The sequence below is a fragment of the Homo sapiens genome, chromosome 4 (genome assembly GCF_000001405.40).
Source record: "Homo sapiens chromosome 4, GRCh38.p14 Primary Assembly".
In the NCBI taxonomy this organism is placed as follows: Eukaryota; Metazoa; Chordata; class Mammalia; order Primates; family Hominidae; genus Homo; species Homo sapiens.
Window position 1 is genome coordinate 112,162,699 of NC_000004.12, and position 22,750 is coordinate 112,185,448.

At 37.3% G+C, this 22,750-nt stretch overlaps 1 protein-coding gene and 1 pseudogene across 1 annotated transcript in view; both read left to right on the forward strand.

Annotated features, from left to right (window-relative positions):
* Positions 1 to 22,750, forward strand: part of FAM241A (family with sequence similarity 241 member A) — a 49,803-nt gene that overhangs the window by 17,245 nt on the left and 9,808 nt on the right. The gene's annotated exons all lie outside the window — the stretch shown is intronic.
* On the forward strand, positions 8,485 to 8,880 carry RPL36AP19 (ribosomal protein L36a pseudogene 19; annotated as a pseudogene).

Genomic DNA, 22,750 nt, shown 5'->3' on the forward strand with positions numbered 1-22,750 from the left:
AGGAAGAATCAATATCATGAAAATGGCCATACTGCCCAAGGTAATTTATAGATTCAGTGCCATCCCCATCAAGCTACCAATGACTTTCTTCACAGAATTGGAAGACACTACTTTAAAGTTCATATGGAACCAAAAAAAGAGCCCGCATTGCCAAGACAATCCTAAGCCAAAAGAACAAAGCTGGAGGCATCACACTACCTGACTTCAAACTGTATTACAAGGCTACAGTAACCAAAACAGCATGGTACTGCTACGAAAACAGAGATAGACCAATGGAACAGAACAGAGCCCTCAGAAATAATACCACACATCTACAACCATCTGATCTTTGACAAACCTGAGAAAAACAAGCAATGGGGAAAGGATTTCCTATTGAATAAATGGTGCTGGGAAAACTGGCTAGCCATATGTAGAAAGCTGAAACTAGATCCCTTCCTTACACCTTGTACAAAAATTAATTCAAAATGGATTAAAGACTTAAATATTAGACCTAAAACCATAAAAACCCTAGAAGAAAACCTAGGTAATACCATTCAGAACATAGGCATGGGCAAGGACTTCATGACTAAAACACCAGAAGCAATGGCAACAAAAGCCAAAATTGACAAATGGGATCTAATTAAACTAAAGAGCTTCTGCACAGCAAAAGAAACTACCATCAGAGTGAACAGGCAACCTACAGAATGGGAGAAAAATTTTACAATCTACCCATCTGACAAAGGGCTAATATACAGAATCTACAAAGAACTCAGACAAACTTACAAGAAAAAAATCAAACAACCCCATCAAAAAGTGGGCAAAGGATATGAACAGACACTTCTCAAAAGAAGACATTTATACAGCCAAAAGACACATGAAAAAATGCTCACCATCACTGGTCATCAGAGAAATGCAAATCAAAACCACAATGAGATACCATCTCACACCAGTTAGAATGACGATTATTAAAAAGTTAGGAAACAACTGGTGCTGGAGAGGATGTGGAAAAATAGGAACACTTTTCCGCTGTTGGTTGGATTGTAAGCTAGTTCAACCATTGTGGAAGACAGTGTGGCGATTCCTCAAGGATCTAGAACTAGAAATACCATTTGACCCAGCCATCCCATTACTGGGTCTATACCCAGAGGATTATAAATCATGCTGCTATAAAGACTTGGTGCCAACCCAAGTGTCCATCAGTGATAGACTGGATTAAGAAAATGTGGCACATGTACACCATGGAATACTATGCAGCCATAAAAAATGATGAGTTCATCTCCTTTGTAGGGACATGGATGAAGCTGGAAACCATCATTCGGAGCAAACTGTTGCAAGGACAGAAAACCAAACACCGCATGTTCTCACTCATAGGTGGGAATTGAACAATGAGAACCCTTGGACACAGGGTGGGGAACATCACACACTGGGGCCTGTTGTGGGGTGGGGGGAAGGGGAAGGGATAGCATTAGGGGATATACCTAATGTAAATGACTAGTTAATCGGTGCAGCACACCAACATGGCACATGTATACATGTGTAACAAACCTACACATTTTGCACATGTATCCTAGAACTTAAAATATAATTTTTTTAAAAAAAGGATGAGTTCATGTCCTTTGTGAGGACATGGATGAAGCTGGATATCATCATTCTGAGCAAACGATCGCAAGGACAGAAAACCAAACACTGCATGTTCTCACTCATAGGTGGAAACTGAACAATGAGAACACTTGGACACAAGGTGGGGAACATCACACACCGGGACCTATTGTGGGGTGGGGAAGAGGGGAGGGATAGCATTAGGAGATACACCTAATGTAAATGACAAGTTAATGGGTGCAGCACACCAACATGGCACATGTATACATATGTAACAAACCTGCACGTTGTGCACATGTACCCTAGAACTTAAAGTATAATAATTTTAAAAAATAAAATAAAATGAAAAAAAAGCTTCTGCACAGCAAAAGAAACAATCAAGTGAAGATACAACCCATAGAATGGGAGAAAATATTTGTAAACTACCCTGACAAGCGATTAATAACCAGAATATATAAGGAGCTCAAACAACTCTATAGGAAAAATGTCTAATAATTCAATTTTAACATGGGCAAAATATTTAAATAGACATTCCTCAAAAGAAGACATACAGGCCAGGTGCCGTGGCTCACGCCTATAATCCCAGCACTTTGGGAGGCCTAGGCAGGCAGATCACTTGAGCTCAGGAGTTTGAGACCAGCCTGGGCAATACGGTGAAACCCCATCTCTCCAAAAAATACAAAAAAACTAGCTAGGCATGGGCTCAGCTATTTGGGAGGCTGAGGTGGGAGAATCACCTGAGCCTAGGAGTTCCTTCAAGACTACAGTGAGCTGTGATCGCACCACCGCACTCCAGCCTGGATGACAGAATGAGACCCTGTCTCAAAAGCAAAACAAAAACAAGACATACAAATGGCAAACAGGCATATGAAAAGATGCTCAACATCACTGAGCATCAGAGAAATGCAAATCAAAACTACAATGAGATATCATCTCACACCAGTTGAAATGTCTTTTATCCAAAAGACAGGCAATGACAAATACTAGTGAGGATGTGGAGAAAAGGGAAGCCTCATACTGTTGGTGGGAATGTAAATTAGTATGACCACTATGGAGAGAACAGTTTGGAGGTTCCTCAAAAAACTAAACATTGAGCTTCCATATAGCCTAGCAATCCCACTGCTGGGTATATCTCCAAAAGAAAGGAAATTAGTATCTCAAAGAGATATCTACACTCTCATATTTGTTATAGCACTGTTCACAATAGCAAAGATTTGGAAGCAACCTAATTGTCCATCAACAGATGAATGGATAAAGAAAACGTGGTACTTATACCCAAGGGAGTACTATTCAGCCGTTAAAAAGAGTGAGGTCCTGTCTTTTGCAACAACATGGATGGAACTGGAGGTCATTATGTTAAGTGAAATAAGCCAGGCACAGGAAGACAAACATCGCATATTCTTACTTACTTGTGGGATCTAAAAATCAAAATAATTGAACTCATGAAGGTAGAGAGTAGAAGGATGGTTACCAGAGGCTGGGAAGGGTAGTGGGGCGTGAGGGGGAAGTGAGGATGGTTAATGGTTACAAAAAGAATGGAATGAATGAATGAGACCTAGTATTTGATAGTACAACAGAGTGATTGTTGTCAAAATAATTTAATTGTACATTTAAAAATAACTAAAAGTATAATTGGATTGTTTGTAACACAAAAGTAAATGCTTGAGGGGATGGATACCCCATTTTCCATGATGTGCTTATTTCACATTGTATACCTGTATCAAAATATCTCGTGCCCCACAAATATAGACACCTACTATGTACTCAGAATTTTTTTTTTTTTTTTTTGAGACAGAGTCTCGCTCTGTCGCCCAGGCTGGAGTGCAGTGGTGTGATCTCGGCTCACTGCAAGCTCTACTTCCCGGGTTCACACCATTCTCCTGCCTCAGCCTCTCCCGAGTAGCTGGGACTACAGGTGCCCCCCACCACACCCGGCTAATTTTTTTGTATTTTTTTTTTTTAGTAGAGACGGGGTTTCACAGTGTTAGCAAGTATGGTCTGTATCTCCTGGTCTCGATCTCCTGACCTCGTGATCCGCCTGCCTTGGCCTCCCAAAGTGCTGGGAAAATTTTTTTAAATGTTTTTTAAAAGTACATTTCTTAATGAAGATTATATACTCACACCTTAAAATGAATTTGTTTATTCTACTTCCCTTTAAATATGTGGTTCAACTCCTTTACAATAAGAGATTTAGAAATTTGATTATTTGATGTGAAGGGGTGAGGTTGAGAAGGAGAATGTAGTTATTTACAGCAAAGCATGTTTTCTGAAAAAGAAATTTTCCAATAAACTGTACCACAGTTTATTGGAATGAGCTCAGAATTTGTTGTCAGAATACTCCTGCTTTCAAATCCTGGCTGGCTGATTTGGGGGAAGTCCTCTGGTGTCAGTTAGACCTCTGGAGTCTAATAGCACCCACCTGACTGTGATTTTGTGAGGAACTAATGCTTTGGAATATATGTGTTTAATAGTTTATTGAACAAATGGCTATAAGCAAAGGAAGATGGAAAAAGATCAAAATTACAAGGATTTTTTTCTGAAGATATTAAAAATACTGGCCGGGCGCGGTGGCTCACGCCTGTAATCCCAGCACTTTGGGAGGCCGAGGCGGGCGGATCACGAGGTCAGGAGATCGAGACCATCCCGGCTAAAATGGTGAAACCCCGTCTCTACTAAAAATACAAAAAATTAGCCGGGCGTAGTGGCGGGCGCCTGTAGTCCCAGCTACTTGGGAGGCTGAGGCGGGAGAATGGCGTGAACCCGGGAGGCGGAGCTTGCAGTGAGCCGAGATCCCGCCACTGCACTCCAGCCTGGGCGACAGAGCGAGACTCCGTCTCAAAAAAAAAAAAAATAAAAATAAAAAATAAAAATACTAATAATTTTTTCTTGGCCAAGGTATGACTTAAAAATTGAATCTTCAGCATATAAACTATATAAGTATTAATAAAAATCATTAGAGAAGATGAACTCTCCATCAGAAGAGAACATAAAGTAAAAAGATAAGATGCCCTATAGATAAGCCCCTAAGGAGTTCTAACTAAACTCAGAAGGGAATGGGCCAGCGGAAGTAGACCAAAGAGAAAAAGGGAGATGAAGACACCTAGAGTGACTAGTAGGCTTCTGGCTTGCACTGCAGGTTGTGCCATTCATCGAGGCAGAGGATACTGGAGGAAGACCAATTTTAGAGCAGATGGTTATGAACTTGGTACTGGGCATGTTGAATTTGAGGTTTCTCTAAGACATTCATGTAGAAATGTTGAATATGTAGTTGAGCATTCTACTCTAGAGATCTGAAGAGTTGCCTGAGTTGAGAAGTAATGTTCTGAAAGATAAGAGGAAAACCATGAATCTTTTATGGGTCATTTTAATTAGGAAGGGATAGTGCAGCAGTGTTTTATATGGTAATTTGGGTACATATCTTTATATATTAAGCAGTTTAATAGCAGGGAACATGGGTTATTATTTTGTATACCCCACAGCACTTAACCTTACTCTTGATAAGCATTCAATTATTATTTGTTGAATTGAACTAAATTGACTAAGTAATTTATTTTGCAAGCTAGCCTATTCTGTGAATCAAGGATTGTGATTATCTGAGTTAGAGCTTAATAATCAAAGATTCTCAAGGAGAACATGACAGACATCAAGAACCAGTGTGTGGTTTCCTGAAAGTAAGCAGCCATCAGTCTGACAAATCAGTCAGGTCTGTGCAGGCTTGCCACAAGTAGGGCACAGCACATCTTGCATAAAATGCAGGTGCAAAACTTGCTGAGAGGAGAGGATCATAACTTTGGCATGTAAGCACAAACTTTATTACAGTAAGCAGAAAACTTCTAGTAATTTTCACTATATCACCATTCACCTAAAGTTAAAACAACTAATATACTTTGTTATGAAATAAGGTGACTTTATGTAGATACACTGTTTTTCAAAGAGTTTTTTCACAAGAAATGTCACAGATTCACACACTTTTCTTTATCTACAAGACTAGATTCCTACAGACTCTTTAGTTCTATAAATAATGAAAAGCAATTAAACTTTTTTTCCCTACTTAGTCCAAATGATTGATAGCTTAATAGATATTTCATTTCATAAGAATGGTACAGCAGTGGTTATTTCAGAACTCCAAAGAAAAAAATCAGCCAAGTCAATGGGTTTGACAAAAAGTGAAGTATATAAAACAAGAAGCTGTTATTGTACAGGAAACAATATACTCCCAAACAATAAATATAAATGGCATTTTCATAACTTTTTGAAAAATTGTTAGATTCATAAGTACTGTTAACTTTGCTATGAGACAAAATTCCATTATAGATCTTACTAAGAAATTATTGATAAGTTAATTTTAAAGGAAACTTAGTTCTAAGAAGGATGGTTCCTATATTTGGATTTTTTTTTTTAATTTGAGACAGTGTTTGGCTGTTGTTGCCCAGGCTGGAGTGCAATGGCGCGATCTCAGCTCATTGCAACTTCCACCTCCCGGATTCAAGCGATTCTCCCACCTCAGCCTTCCAAGTAGCTGGGATTACAGGTGTGCACCCCCACACCCAGCTTAATTTTGTATGTTTAGTAGAGACGGAGTTTCAGCATGTTGGTCAGGCTGGTCTTGAACTCCTGACCTCAAGTAATCCGCCTGCCTCGGCCTCCTGGAGCGCTGAGATTACAGGCGTGAGCCATGGCACCTAGCCTTGGATACTTCTATTAGTCATGCCTACATGTTTAACTCTTTAAATATAATATGGAAAAGATATAACAGCATAAGCAAAATAGTCTTCAATCTTCCATATAACTTTACCTTGGGCTAGGTACAAACTTAAAACTCCTATCCTAAAATGTAATTTAAAAGATGTATTTACAAAATCATGAATGTTGATAATTCTTTCAACAGATGCTGGCCAAACTACCAGAAGAGCGGCATCAGTGATATACTCAATGTTTTTAAGAATCAGTCCTCATCTAGTTAGTGCCTCAGATTCTTTCTGGTGCCGCTGATTTTGAATATTATTGCTTTTCTTCGTTTTGTCCTAAAAGGAAGTGACTCATCAAACACACAAACTAATCCAGTTCCAATCAGGATCTATATTTTGCTTATTTTGCTTTAGGAATGAAAAGGTATATGTTACAGTATAAAATCTATTTTTATACTTGCGTGCATGAATAAGAGGATTTGGGATTATGAGTAAATGCTAATCTTAAAAAGAAATAGCAACACCTCTAAGAAAGAGACAACAAAAGAGTGAGAAAGATCCAAAACAATCCTCAGGAATTGGATGGACAATTATCAAGAGGTGACTGAAAGAATTTGGGAGTATGGAAGGAGTGCCAGGAACATTGAGACACATAATTTTATAGTGAAGCATCTCAGCACAATTTTTACCAATAATACTTAGCAGCCTAAAAGAAACAGGGAAATTGGAGACTGTAGGAAGTCAGGGCATGGGGAGAAAACGTAGCTATGAATTCGTAGTTGAAATGGTAGACACTATGTATTCTCAACTGCAAGGAGAAAATAGAAGCCAAAAAGACTAAATATATAACTAATCCAGAGGCTTTTAAAATTCTGCTTCTTTCTTAGTATGTATTGTCATGTATTTGTTTATCTTCCCTTTCTGTATGATACTATGTCTTACTTGTGTTTCACAAATGTGAGATTCCTGACCTTTTATAAGAAGGTAACAAGGCATTTTTCAAAAAGCCTTTTTTTGGAGAGGTTAAGTGGGATGGTAGAGTGGATTAAGTGGAACAAAATTCCAGTTTTTTGGCGAGAAAATATTTTTTAGTCTAAAATCCCTCTGAGACTCACTACAAACTAATTTCTTTCTGTCATTCTTCTTCCTTCTTTTGGTTTCTCTATAACTAAATTTAGTTTAAAATTAAGTTATCTATAAAGGCAGCCTTTCCATGATCGTTGGAGCACATTCTGCTCATGTTAGAAGTTCATTGTTCTTTGTTTTTAGTTATTAAGCACATACAGTAGTCCCCCCTTATCCACAGGGGATACATTCTAAGACCCCCAGTGGATGCCTGAAATTGATGATAGTACTGAACCCTATATATACTGTTTTTCCTGTGTGTACATACCTATGATAACATTTCATTTATAAGTTAAAGACACAGTAAGAGATTAACAACAATAAGAATAAATTAGAACAACTATAATAATATACTGTAATAAAAGTTGTATGAATGTGGTCTCTCTTTCTCTCAAAATAATCTTATTGTATCATAGTCACCCTTCTTGTGATCTGTCGATCTGATAATTGAGGTGACTACTAAGCGACTAATGGGTGGATCATGTCAACAGCATGGATACACTGGACAAAAGCATGAGTCATGTCCCGAGCAGGATGGAGCAAGATGGTGTGAGATTTCATCACTATACTCAAAATGGCCCACAATTTAAAATTTACAAATTATTTATTTATGGAATTTTCCATTTAATATTTTCAGACCACAGTTGACTGCAGCTAACTGAAACTGGGAAAAGAGAAACTGGATAAGGGGGACTACTGTAGTATGAAGGCAAGAAAATTTCAGGGGAAAACAAGTGGTTATTTTCTGGCCAAATGTGATACATTTTCTCTCTTAACTGGATACAGTTAAAAATAGGAAAAAAAAAAAAAAAGCCCACTTTTGAAGTGCTCAATGTGCTTAGTCTTTGTGCCAACTTCTATAGTTTTTCTTTTCTTCTGGGGGTAGGAATGGGATTAAAGGTTAGAGATTGGTTTTGTTTTTTATTTTTAAGAAAAGATGAAATTTTTAAAATCCTGGTCAAATAGTAAGTATGACAATTGAGACCAGGTGCTATACTACAGTGAGCCAGATGTGTGTATAAAACAAGAAACTGTTATTGTACAGGAAAAAAAATGCAAAAACCACAAAACCATTTTAAAATTATTATTTTTACTTTCTTTCTGTGCCGATAGCACTCCTGCAAACATGGTAAACATTCCTAAAACCCACTGGACTTTCTGTACGAAGTGTGGCAAGCACCAACCCCACAAAATGACACAGTACAAGAAGGGCAAGGATTCTCTGTATGCCCAGGGAAAGCGGTGTTACGACAAGAAGCAGAGTGACTATGGGGGACAAGCTAAGCCAATTTTCTGGAAATAAAACTACAAAGATGATTGTGCTAAGGCTTGAGTGTGTTGAGCCAACTGCAGATCTAAGAGAATGCTGGCTATTAAAAGATGCAAGCATTTTGAACTGGGAGGAGATAAGGAAAGAAAGGCCCAAGTGATTCAGTTCTAAGTGTCATCTTTTGTTTTATTATGAAGACTATAAAATCTTGAGTTTATGGCCGGGTGCGGTGGCTCACGCCTGTGATCCCAGCACTTTGGGAGGCCGAGGCGGGCGAATCACGAGGTTAGGAGATCGAGACTATCCTGGCTAACACGGTGAAACCTCGTCTCTACTAAAAATATAAAAAATTAGCCAGGCATGGTGGCGGGCGCCTGTAGTCCCAGCTACTCAGGAGGCTGAGGCAGGAGAATGGCATGAACCTGGGAGGCGGAGGTTGCAGTGAGCCGAGATCGCGCCACTGCACTCCAACCTGGGTGACAGAGTGAGACTCTGTCTCAAAAAACAAAAACAAAAACAAAAAAAAATCTTGAGTTTATATTCAAAAAAAGTATTATTTTTGCTGATGTAAGTGAATCAAGACAAGTATAACTAAACTGCTTTTAAAAACTGATACATTGAAACAATTAGAATGTGAATCATCACAAGATTGATTTTATATTTATAACAAAGCCTATAGTGTAGGCTTTAGAACATAGGCTTTAGAGCCAGATTGCCTGAATGTGTCTAGATTCCACCAATTACTAAGGGATCTTGACTAAATTACATAATCTCTCTTCCTCAGTTTCCTTTATGTTTTGAAGATCATAGTACTTAAAGCATTGCCCAACACATACTATTCAATTAGTGTTCATTTTTTAAATTAATAAATGTGTCATGAAATAAGTTAAAAATTTCATTTAAACATTGCTTGTTGTTTTCAAGGCTTACATATTTCAGAGCATATCTACATAGGGATAACCTTTGAGATGAAGAGGAATACAAAGCAAGAAATCAGTCTTTGCAGGTGACTAAATTCTGAAGTGAAGATGTTTTGTAAACCACAGAATCGGTTTGTGGTTTATCAGTGCTATAACCAGCTATCCTTTTATATAATAATACAGAAGCAGTTAAACACACCATATCATTTTTAAAAACATCATTTAAATATTTGAAAGCAGTGCATTAGTGGGTTTTTTGCCAATTCTTTTGATTTAGTTTATGACCAAATTGACCTTTTTTGAACTAAATGCCAAGCATTTTGCAGCTCTTAAATGTTGATCACATTTTGCCTTAAAATATATGTATTTGTTTATAAATGTTAACCTCCACACTAGATTGTTAGCTTCTCAAAGTTAAGGATGTAATATTACTTATCTAATACTTTATAGGTACCAGAAAAAATGTTTGTTGAATTGGTTCTAAAGTGTTTTTAAAGCCAAATAATTATAAATGTTATGCTGAATATAAATGACAACATAGTTTTATTTGTTCATTTATGCGTTAATATGTTTATTTATTTGCTGTTTTTTTCTTTCTGGGCTGCCAGATATTTTGTGTTTGTTTTGAGGCAAGGTCTGGCCTTGTCACCCAGGCTGGAGTGCAGTGGTGCGATCTTGGTTCACTGCAGCCTCTGCCTCCTGGGCTGAAGCTATTTTCCTACCTCAGCCTCCTGAGCAGCTGGGACTACAGGCACACACCACCATACCCCGCTAACTTCTGTATTTTTTTGTAGAGTCAGGGTCTCACTATGTTGCCCAGGCTGGTCTTGCACTCCTGAACTCAAATGATCTGCCCACCTTGGCCTCCCAAAGTGCTGAGATTATAGGTGTGAGCCACTATGCCCAGCCCTGCCAGAGATTTAATGTGGGCCATAGAAGGAGGAGACCATTTTAATGTTTACAGAGCATTCTTGATTTACTTTTTATATTTCTACATTTTTTAAGAACTTCCCCAGAGAGTTATAAATAATGATAGAAAGTATTTTAATTGTGCTAAAAGTTTTTCTAAAAAATAGGTTTGAGTGTGACATTTAATGTATTGAAAGCAACTAAGGAAAAAACAGGACTGACTATTCTGAGATTTGGGTTTCTGGTTAACTTTCTTTAGGCTTAATGAAAAAATGAGTTAATTACCAGCTAAAGTACATGGTAGGCTACTGCACAATGATGGAAAATTGCCCACTTAATGATATGTGTGAAAGGATAGTGAAGAAGGAGAAAAAGGGAGCCATTTTAAAATTCATTTAACTTCAAATATATATTTAAAGCCTTTTTTTAATGTTAGTAAGAACTGCCTGATTAAATGGATCCTTATAAGTCAAACTTTTATACTGAGAGTTTGATCACAGTACATGTGAAGAATAATAAACACTCTTGAAGGTGCTCACGGTCCCAGGACTGATTCCAGAGAACTAGCTACCTACCATACAGCGTCCTCTGATTCAGCCTCACAGAAGTTGTCTCACAGTTCACCATCAAAAGTAATGTCCAGAAATAACCAAGGTAGGGCTTCCAGAACAATGAGGTAAGGAATTCAGCAGACTGTCTCCTCAGCAAAGCAGCAATTTAACTGTTGAAAATTATGGAGCAAAACAAAATAAAAGTCTTTTAAAGTCTCCAAGAACCATCCTCAAGGTATACAGCAAATAGAGAATTATTCATTCAAGAAAATATACTAAATCTCAGGCTGCAGTTTCACCCTGGAGGAGTAGGCCTCTGGTGTTTTTCAGCTCTCTGCCCCTCCTCCTCCTAGCTCCATGTTGTGGAATCTCAATTCCAGGTAGGTATAGCTGAGACAACCAAGTCTCTCTTCCCCTAACCAGTCTCTAAGCGAGGCACAGCAAGTCCAGAACACGGAGGCCCACCTTCCCCTCCCTGCACTCACTGTAGGGCAGAGGTTCCCTCCCAGGAGAGGTAACCCAGAAAACCAGGGGCTGCTCCCCAACCTCAAGTGTCTAATTTTACAGCAGGGTGTCACCCCAGGGAATGGTGCAATGGTGCAGGAGCCCTGCCCAGGAGGAAAGGCAGATCTGGCTGGGCACGGTGACTCACGCCTGTAATCCCAGCACTTTGGGTGGCTGAAGCCGGTGAGTGAAGAGCTCCATAGATTTCCCTGAGAGGACTTTGTTTACTTGGGAAAGGGAATGGAGAACTTTCCGGGCTAAGTTTGTTGTTGAAAGCAATACAGATCTTGGTGAAGAGCAATTAATAGGAGGCTGATAGCTCCATAATATATCAAAACATATTACTAGTGGCACCGTCAAAACAACACAGCAGCCAGAAGTTTTAAAGAGAGAACCAAGGAAGGAGCCAAGAAGAGCCTTCCTGGGATCAAAGTCAACTGTGAGAATTCGAGAAAGCAGGGCTCATGTGCTAGGCTGCACCCTCTCAGGAGCAATTATGGTAGGATACGGGGTAGACTTGAAAGCATTCTCCATGCTGTACATAGACCCATCAACACAGGACAATAGCCTCAATGGCACAAGGGGCTTAAATTCAACATCTGACTGAAACCAATTGAACAATAAACTATTCTGACCCCTTACTCCTTGGAAACCAGGCTTTAAAGTGACATCACTGTCATCCCTGGCAGTCTGAAAAACTGTGTATATGCCCAAGGCATTTCTCTGTCAGTTGCTAGAGTGGGAATCTCCAAGCTACTAGTCCCTGGCTGAATGTGTAAAGTGCTTACCACAATATCTAGCAGATGGGTGAATTCTGATTAGTGGTAGCTATTATTATTATCATCATCTATAGTCAGAATTCTTGGTTTCAAGTGACAAAAATCCAACTCCTACTAGATTTTGGAAAATAGGAATTTATTGGCTTACGTTATGAAAAAGACCAAAAGTAGATATGCTAGCTATATCTGAGTACTTAAATTATGTCAATGAAACCGTCTCTATCCATTTCTTGGCTTTACTTTATGTTGGCTTTGTTCTTAGCAAGCTTTCCCCCCTAGTAATATGATGGCCTACAACTCACCAGCTATCTAACTACAGTTTGTTTGTTTTTTTCTCAAGCAAAAACAAAAACAACACAGAAAAAACCTGTCTCTTTTTCAATAGTTGCAGTAAAAGTCTTGGCTAGAGCTTTCATTGGCCTGTCTTGAGTTACATTTACGTTCCCAAGAAAATGAAATGTTCAGCCGGGTGTGGTGGCTCACACCGGTACTCCCAGCAATTTGGGAGGCTGAGGTGGGTGGATAACCTGAGGTCAGGAGTTCGAGACCAGCCTGGCCAACATGGTGAAGCCCCATCTCTACTAAAAATACGAAAATTAGCTAGGTGTGGTGGCAGGTGCCTGTAATCCTAGCTACTCAGGAGGCTGAGGCAGGAGAATCGCTTGAACCCGGGAGGCAGAGGTTGCAGTGAGCCGAGATCATGCCATGGCACTCCAGCCTGGGCAACAGAGCGAGACTATCTCAAAAAAAAAAAGAAAGAAAATGAAATGTTCTTATTGGGCAGGCTTGGAGCTGGGGAATGGAGACATCTTCAACCAACACGTGGACTAAAAGCAGGTAAAGTATGGTTTCCCCAAAGTTAAATCAAGTAGAATATATGGTATATATACTAGACAGGCAAAAACAGCAGACTTTCAATACTGCATATGTAATGATATGCATTAACACAACAACATGTAATACTGGACACAGGAAGACAGTTATAAGTGAATCTTAAATCGTCAACTCACTCAGCAAAAGCCTATTTATAGAATGTAGCTTGTGCCCTTTCCAAAGTGAGTAAACAGGTTCTACCAATATTAACGTGCACAAATTGTTCTGTGGGTAGAGATGTTCCATAGAAAACATCCCACTTCAATTTCTATATAATTAAATTGTCGTAACACTTGAAAAAATACAACTGAACTTAATTATCATGAGAAAGATAATCACTAAGGCATTAATTATCTCAGGCAGCATGGTACAATAGAGAATAGAAGTAAAAATCACAAGATATAAATTCTGCCAAAAATAGAGTAATAATAATTACCATATATTGAGTGCTTATTCAAAAAGGTTTTATCTGTTTTCTTATCACAACAACTCTAAAGTAGGTATTATTATACACATTTTATGGGTGAAGAAACTGAGAGTCAGTGGTTAAGTAATTTGCCCAATGTCACACAGCTGATACATGACGGAGCAGGATTTGAATCTGTCCTGTTTGCTACGAAAGCCTTGGTTTTTTGTTAATGGGCTATGGGACTTAACCTCTTCATTCCTAATTTCTAAAGTAAGAGACTGTGCTTTAATTATCTTTGAAGATGCTTCTCAAAAATCCAGTGATTACTTAAGGGTTTACCTTTAATTTCTCATCATTAATTTGGGGTATCTTTTAAGAAGGATTTTGAATCAGTTAGAACACCCCTCTATTTTTATGTATGTCTTTAATCATGGACCAAAAAAAGAGTATCACTGCTTTGGTGAGAACACTCTTCGTGTGCATGTCATAGTCAGTACTCTCTGTATAACCACAAAGGAAACTGTACATTTGACAAATGTTTTTCCATTGGGACCTCACATACAAAGAATAAATTTTGGCAAAGACAAAAGTGATTAACGATAGAACAGGAAAAAAAAGCTCCATCTATATTTCTGCACTCATGTACTGGTTTATATGTGAAGTCTTATGGGTTTGCTTATTGTTTGTTGGGGAGGTTTTTTGTTTGTTGTCTTATTGCAATTCTGCCAACCACATATCTCTTCATTCTTGCCGAGCCTTTTTTTTCACATTTGAATCTGAATTCATTACTACTTTTAAAAGCATGAAAATGTACTAACTTGCTGCAAATAGCTTTACTTAAATTTTTGTACAGGATGAAAATGAGAATTTGAGCAACTTTTCTGCTTGAATACTTTTAGGTATTCTGTAAACTGTGAGAAAAGATGTAAAGGAAAAAAGATAGTGATACTCATTTTGCTGTGTAAAATGTATTCATTCTGTGTAAAATGAAAGTGTATTTATATAGCTTATCTTTTCAGAGGTGGAATACATAAAATGTCTCTGAAAACTAAGCAGCATTAACTAGATGTTAGCTATTAATGTAATAATAACTGGAGGGTGTGTACAGTATAGGGATTAATGGTGAGTCCCCTGGAGTAAGAATAACCAGGTTCACATCATAGATCTTTCAATTACTAAGTATAGGTCAGTGTCCAGACATTTAATTCCTCTTAAACTTTACAGTTTCCTTATCTATAAATGGGGGGAAATAATAGTGCCTCCTTTACAGATTGTTGCAAAGATCAAACAAGATAATGCATGTAAAACACAATGCATGTTACATAGGAGGCACTTGGGTTGGCTTTCCTACTCTACCATTAATAGCACTACCACTGCTATTACTCTGAAAATTACAAGCATCTTGAGAGAGAATCAGACCCCCAAGAGCTCATCTGTACGTATTAGTGTCTGCTCTTAAAACGCAGTGGGTTAGGAATTATGCCGAGCATGTAAATTTTAGCTAGCAGCTGTCATATTCTGTAATTTAGTCTAGAATTTATAAATATTTCAAAAATATTGAAAAATTCACAACTATGCTCATGGGAGAATATAATGAATATTGATATTACATTTAAGTTTTCTTTGTTTTAAATTTTGGTGGGTTTTTTGCATAGTATGTTATTGTAGAATATTTCCATTGTTCCTTCAGCAAATACTTATTATGAGTCTATGATGGGCCAGGCATAGTGCAATATACAAAGTACTAATGTAAAATTTGTAAGACATGTTTCTTGCCCTTAATACCCTTAGTGGGTTCAAAGCTAGTGACAGAAAATAGATATATAAAGAAATAATTTTATAGCAAAATACTATGCTAGGCACAATAATGGTCTCTCCAAAGATGTCCACATCTTAATCCTCAGAACCAGAGAATATGATATCTTACATGGCAAAAGGAATTTTGCAGATGTGATTAAATTTAAGGACTTTGAGATGTGGAGAGTATCCTAATTATCCAGGTGGATCAAACTGATTTCACATGGGTTCTTAAATACAGAGAACTTTTAATTTGTCTTGACTTAATTCTTGTATATGGTGAAAGGTAGGGATCCAGTTTCATTCTTCTGCATATGACTAGCCAATTAAATAGGGAGTCCTCAACACCATTAAATAGGGAGTCCTTTCCCCATTGCTTGTTTTGTCTGCTTTGTCAAAGATCAAAATATTTACATGTAAGACCTCAGACTATCCTAGAAGAAAATCTAGGAAATACCCTTCTCAACATCGGCCTTGGCAAAGAATTTTTGGCTAAGCCCCCAAAAGCGATTGCAACAAGAACAAAAATTGACAAGTGGGACCTAATTAAACTAAAGAATTTCTGCACAGCAAAAGAAACTATCAACAGAGTAAACAGGCAGCCTACAGAATGGGAGAAAATTTCCACAAACTATACATCTGACAGAGGTCTAATATACAGAATATGTAAGAAACTTAAATCAACAAGCAAAAAACAAATAACACGATTTTTAAAAGGACAAAGGACATAAACAGACACTTCTCAAAGGAAGACATAAAAGCGGCCATGAAAAAATGCTCATCATCACTCATGAGAGAAATACAAATCAAAACCACAATGAGATACCATCTCATACTAGACAGAATGGCTGTTACTAAAAAGTCAGAAAACAGATGCTGGCGAGGCTGTGGAGAAAAGGGAATGCTTATACATTATTGGTGGGAATATAAATTAGTTCAGCCACTGTGGAAAGCAGTTTGGAGATTTTTCAAAGAACTTCAAACACTCTGATGTAGTTTCTTTTGCTGTGCAGAAGCTCTTTAGTTTAATTAGATCCCCTTTGTCGATTTTGGCTTCTGTTGCCATTGCTTTTGGTGTTTTAGACATGAAGTCCTTGCCCATGCCTATGTCCTGAATGGTATTGCCTAGGTTTTCTTCTAGGGTTTTTATGGTTTTAGGTCCAATATTGCAGCACTACTCACAATAGCAAAGACTTGGAACCAACCCAAATGTCCAACAATGATAGACTGGATTAAGAAAATGTGGCACATATACACCATGGAGTACTATGCAGCCATAAAAAATGATGAGTTCATGTGCTTTGTAGGGACATGGATGAAGCTGGAAACCATCATTCTCAGCAAACTATCGCAAGGACAAAAAACCAAACACCGCATGTTCTCACTCATAGGTGGGAATTGAACAATGAGAACACTTGGACACAGGAAGGGGAACATCACACACAGGGGCCTGTAGTGGGGTGGGGAGAAGGGGGAGGGATAGCATGAGGAGATATATCTAATGTAAATGACGAGTTAATGGGTGCAGCACACCAACCTGGCACATGTATACATATGTAACAAACCTGCACGTTGTGCACATGTACCCTAGAACTTAAAGTATAATAAAATATATATATATATTAAAAAAAAGAACTTCAAACAGGGCTACCATTTGACCCAGCAATCCTATTACTGCATATATACCCAAATAAAATAAATCGTTTTACCAAAAGACTCATGCTCTCATATGTTCATCATAGTGCTATTCTCAATAGCAAAGGCAGAATCAACCTAGGTGCCCATCAATGGTGGATTGCATAAAGAAAATGTGATATATATATATATATATATATATGTATATGTGTGTGTGTGTGTGTATATATATATATCACATATATTACATAATGTATATATATTATGTAATACTGCACAGCCCTAAAAAAAAAACAGTCATATCCTTTGTAGCAGTCAACATGAATACAGCTGGAGACCACTATCCTAACCAAATTAATGCAGAAACAGAAAACCAAATACCACATGTTCTCACTTATAAGTAGGAGCTAAACATTGGGTACTCATGGACATAAGGATGGCAACAGTAGACACTGGGGACTACTGGAGGGTGGAGGAAGAAAGTGGAGTGTGGGTTGAAAAACTACCTATTGGGTACTATGCTCACTGCCTGAGTGATGGAATATATACCCCAAACCTCAGCATCATGCAGTATACCCTTGTAACAAACCTGCACATGTGCCTCCTGTATCTAAAATAAAAGTTGAAAGTATTTTTAAAAGAGCTAAAGAAATAATTTAAAATTAAAACTTTTGAGGCCCCTAATTTTGTGTCCTCTTTATACAGTATTTATGAAGAATTCTATATTTCTCTGTGTTTGTTAACAACAGTTAAATGTAGGCAGTAAAAAATACAGGTGTTCATTATACCAGTGTTTCTCAAAAGGTGGCGAAAAGCTAGGTTTTTGTTTTTCAGTTCATTGCTGACTGATACATTTGTAAAATATAGTAAAAATGATGTGGTATAAAATTGCTATAAAAGTTTCTAAATTTAAAAAAAAAACTTTTTTTCACTGTAGTCAGAGGAAAATGTTAACTACTGAAGAATGGTCAAAGAGGTGCAGTACTGCTAGCTTTGAAGATGAAAGAAGAGGAGCCAAGGAATGTGGGCAGCTCTAGCAACTGGAAAAGTACGGAAATAGATTCTCTTGAGCCTCTAGGAAGAAATTCAGTCCTGCCAACATGACTTCTAATAGACAGAACTGTAAGATAATACATTTGTGTTGTTTTAAACCATTACCTTTATAATTCTTATGGAAGCAATAGAAAACTAATATTAAGTACAAGTTCTCTTTACTTGAGGAGTATATGTGGAGAAATAAAAGAAAATAAGGATCACTTTCCAAAGTTGACCCAGAAGAGCTAGGAATAATTTTTTCAAAAGACATGCAAAAGTCATTGTTCCAAAGTGGATCACATACCCTTTCCAAAACTAGCTCTAGTAAAGAGAAAATTACTCTTAGAATCATCTCTGGAACTGAGTAGGTAGAATTCACTTCACCTGAAGAATGAAGGCTGGATTTAAGGTTCTAATAGGGAAGAGGAAAGAAGACTGGATGCTAAGTAATGTCCACAACAGAAATACTGCTAATCCCATAAAAATATGTACATTGTTTTCAGATTACTGTAGTAAATAATATTTTGGAAAATAGTGCCCATCTTTGGTTTGGCCAAAAAAAAAAAGGAGCAAAGTAGAAAATCTATCAAATACTTCTCTAATGCCTGCCAGAAAAATACATGATAATTTCTTCCTGTTTATTCAACAAATATTTATTGAGATGTTTCTATATGCTGCTATTTTCAGGACATAGCGTTTGCTACATATTCATATCAGAGGATATCAGTGGCCAGCAAAAATAAATACTGTTCCTAGTTCATGAAGTTTATAGTACAGGTAGACATTAATCAAATAATGACACACATTGGCATTGAGTCAGAATGCATTGAAAGAGCATTACCTGATGCTGTGAGACTGAGTTGAAGCTTAAGCTAAGACCAAAAGGAGAGGATGCCTTAACTAAGCAAAGGAGAGAGGAAATAGTTTTTTGAGCAGAGAAAAGAGCACGTGCAAATCCCTGTGGCGAGCAAGAGCTGAAAGACCTCTGTGGCTGAAATAAAGACAGGAAGGCTGATGACAGAATGAGGCCAGAGACCCAGATAGAAGCCAGACTAAGCAGGGCCTCATAGATCATGTTAAAGATTTTGGCCTTAATCCTAAAAGCAGGATGGAGGTGGCATGATTGAATTTGCACTTGGAAAGAACCACTGTGGCTACATTGTGGTATATAGATTATAGGGGAGCTAATGGACTTGTGCAGTAGCAGTGTTAGGAAACTATTGGAATAGTCAAGAGATCTTAGTAGACTCTTAGGATTATAGCAGTAGATGGAATAGTATATACACTTTAAAGAAATACTTAGAAGGTAAAACAAAGAGAATATGGTGATGAGCTGGATGTGGGTCATGGGGAAGAGGGAGAGGGAGGGGGTCAAGAATGCCTTAGAGTTCTGACCTTTGGATGTGGCATATGGATGGTGGTACCATTCACTGACCTAGGGAGCATCAAGAGAGCCCTCGTCCTCACAAATCAGCCAGATGGTTTAAATTTTATTGTAAACAAGAACTTCTAAAAATAATTGAATCGGATGACCTTTTGATAGCTGCATGAGACAATCCAGAAAAAGCAATATGTTGTTACTTGTAGTAGTTTTGTGACACCACATGCATTTCATTGTATCTCATAACTCAAGTCATAATATAGTCCTTTCTTAATACAATTTACCCACTTGCAATATATTTGTAATAAGTTAATTCTACTTAATTATCTCAGCTTGTCAATGTTGTAAACTTAAAAAAAAAAAAATAGAAATGCACCAGTTGGTGGAAAGAAGGGAGGGATCAAACTCATCGACTATAACCGTGCAGGCCTTTACCTCAACTTATTTCAAGTATCTCTTATTCCTACAGTGAAGTGCTGGTGCTGGCTCCTACCAATCGTCAAAGAGCAAGTTGTTAAATTTTCAGGAACTTTTTGAGCTGGCTGTTAATAGTTTGAAATTGGCCACAGTGGAAGTACTAACACTACAGAAATTGGAAATCACAACAGAATTGGCAAACGCTGTAAAATAGAGCTTCCCCCAACCCCCAACAAAGCCCATTGTTAAACATTTACCAACACACCAGTCTTTGTATCCTTTAGAACTGTGTTATTTGAGAGGATATCCTAGATACATAAAATACTGTAATGAGATTGACTATAATCTCACTGATTGAAGAATATTGATCATTTTCCTTTTCCACGTTCTTTTTTTTTTTTTCTTTTGCCTGCCTGGAAACTGACACCCTTTCCACATTCTTAAATGTCTTCCTTTAGGGTTGTTTGAACCCCCTATCCAATTCATTGCTGGATATATTTGATGTTTCTACAGAACTTCATTTGTGAAGATATGTTACTTTTAGGCATTAGCCTAGTGATTTTTTTTTAAACTTTTTTCTTCTTCATCAGATTACCCAGATTAAGAAGTATTTCAGTAAGGTGGCAAAGTTTTAGAAATTACTGAATCTGGTTGATACGTATATAGGTTTATTATACTATTTTCTCTAGTTTTGTGTGTGCTTAAATTTTTTTATAATTAAAAAAAAAGAAGAAGAAGCAGGCTGCAACAGCCACAGCTTGCCCAGACCTGTCCTTACTGGGTCTTCAGCTTCCAGTCTCAATCCCACCAGCTGATCTCAAGATCTGAGATAATGTGAGCATTGCTGTCTCCTCGCCTGGCCTGATTTACTAACTCTCTGTTTTGATTTAAGTGTTGCAACACCTCCTTCTTCCCCTGAAAAACCCACAAGCATTTGTAGATTTAATTTATTTTACAAAGAATTTAAACCTTCAGACAGTACCTACCACATCCAGATTAGGGTACTTTCTTCGTACTAAAACCACAAAAATACTGAAAAAAAAAGTCTTAAAAAGCTTCAGTAACAACAAAAAAAACCCCAAAGTACAATGAGTGCATAGATTACAAGAAATTGGGAAGAGTAAAAAAAAAAATTTTTTTAAGAACTTTAATAAAAAATGAAGAAAAAAAGGCCAGAAACAGTATCAACATGCTGAACACTGGAGAAATAGAGAGGGATGAGGGATCAGCAGAATTACATACTAAATCGAGGACTCTTCAAGTTCTACCCTAAAGAAAAGAAAGCTTTAATATTAGGCAAGAATAAGGGTTTTTTTAAAATGTAGTATATTGTTATGGATCATATCAAAGTACAAGAAACATAAAATTGACCCAGTCATAATATATCAGTGAAGGAAAAAATAATTTAGAAATCAATTTTTTAAAAAAAGAAAAGATCCACAAATTATAACTTAAGAGAAAACTATCAGTATCAAAAAAGGATCACATAAATCATTTTATGGATTAGAAAACTGAAGTTCAGGAAAAGTGAAGTAATTTGGCTAAGGTCATGTCACTCAGTTAAAGTGTTGCAGCCTGGATGTGAACTCCCTAGATAACTCTACAACATTTTGTTCTTCTCACTCTTTTTCTGATAGAAGTGAAAATCCAAAAGTAATTTTAAAAATTATATAAAATAGGCCGGGCACAGTGGCTCACGCTGGTAATTCCAGCACTTTGGGAGGCCAAGGCAGGTGGATCACCTGAGGCCAGGAGTTCAAGACCAGTCTGACCAACATGGTGAAACCCTGTCTCTAGTAAATACAAAAGATTAGCCAGGCATGGTGGTGCATGCCTGTAGTCCCAGCTACTTGGGAGGCTAAGGCAGGAGAATTGCTTGAAGTGTGAGGTGGAGTTTGCAGTGAGCCGAGATTGTGCCATTGCACTCCAGCCTGGGCAACAAGAAAGAAACTGTCTCAAAAAAAAAAATTATATAAAAGTATAGCTCAAAAGTAAATCTGGCTTGAACACATGATGTAGACTCAACAAAGATGCCCCAGTGAGTCTCATTTTTCTACTACCTCATCAGTCCCCCTTGGTACTCATTACTGTACATAAATTACTAGTATATGGGAAAAGCCCATTTCTTAAAGTCATACTGAAAATCATTTTGTCTGATTTTCTATTTTAAACAAAAGTTAGATTTTTTTTCACTCTTCCCTTAAAGATTTATTTTAAACTCTATGTGTACAATAGAAAATAAGGCTTCATATAGCCATTTCTTTAATGAAAAAAATATTTTTAATTATTTACTGATCGATGACTGAAATGATCAAGCTTTGGTTTCTACTAAAAGAATGTAAGTTTGATTCAGATGTTTGAAGAATGTCTTAAAATTTCCTCAAATTCATTGGCTGTTTGTGGCAGATGATTTTGTGACACTCCCTTATAAGATAATTAATTTTGCTTTCCTTTGGCCTATACGGCATACTTAATGGTATTTAATACTTATTATGTGAAGCCCTATATCTAAAGGCTTTTTAAACGTATAATAAATTCTCCATCATGTACATACTATGAGCAAATAATTCAATAATTATTTGAATCATGCCTCCTAAATAAAATATATTTAAATAAATTATAATTATCTCACCTACATGACAGTTTTTCTTTTGTGATTCTACTAGGGTCTGGGGCGGTGGGGAGGGGGAGAGAAACTATACCAATTATTTTAACAAAGATAATTTAATATAAGTAATTGTTAACTGGGTATTGGAAAAGCATGGTCACCAGATCAGCATCATAAGCATCACCTAGAAACTTCCTAGAAATGCAAATTCTCAGACTCCAACTTCACCCCTGACTTACTGAATCAGAAACTCTAGTAGTAGGCCCAGCAA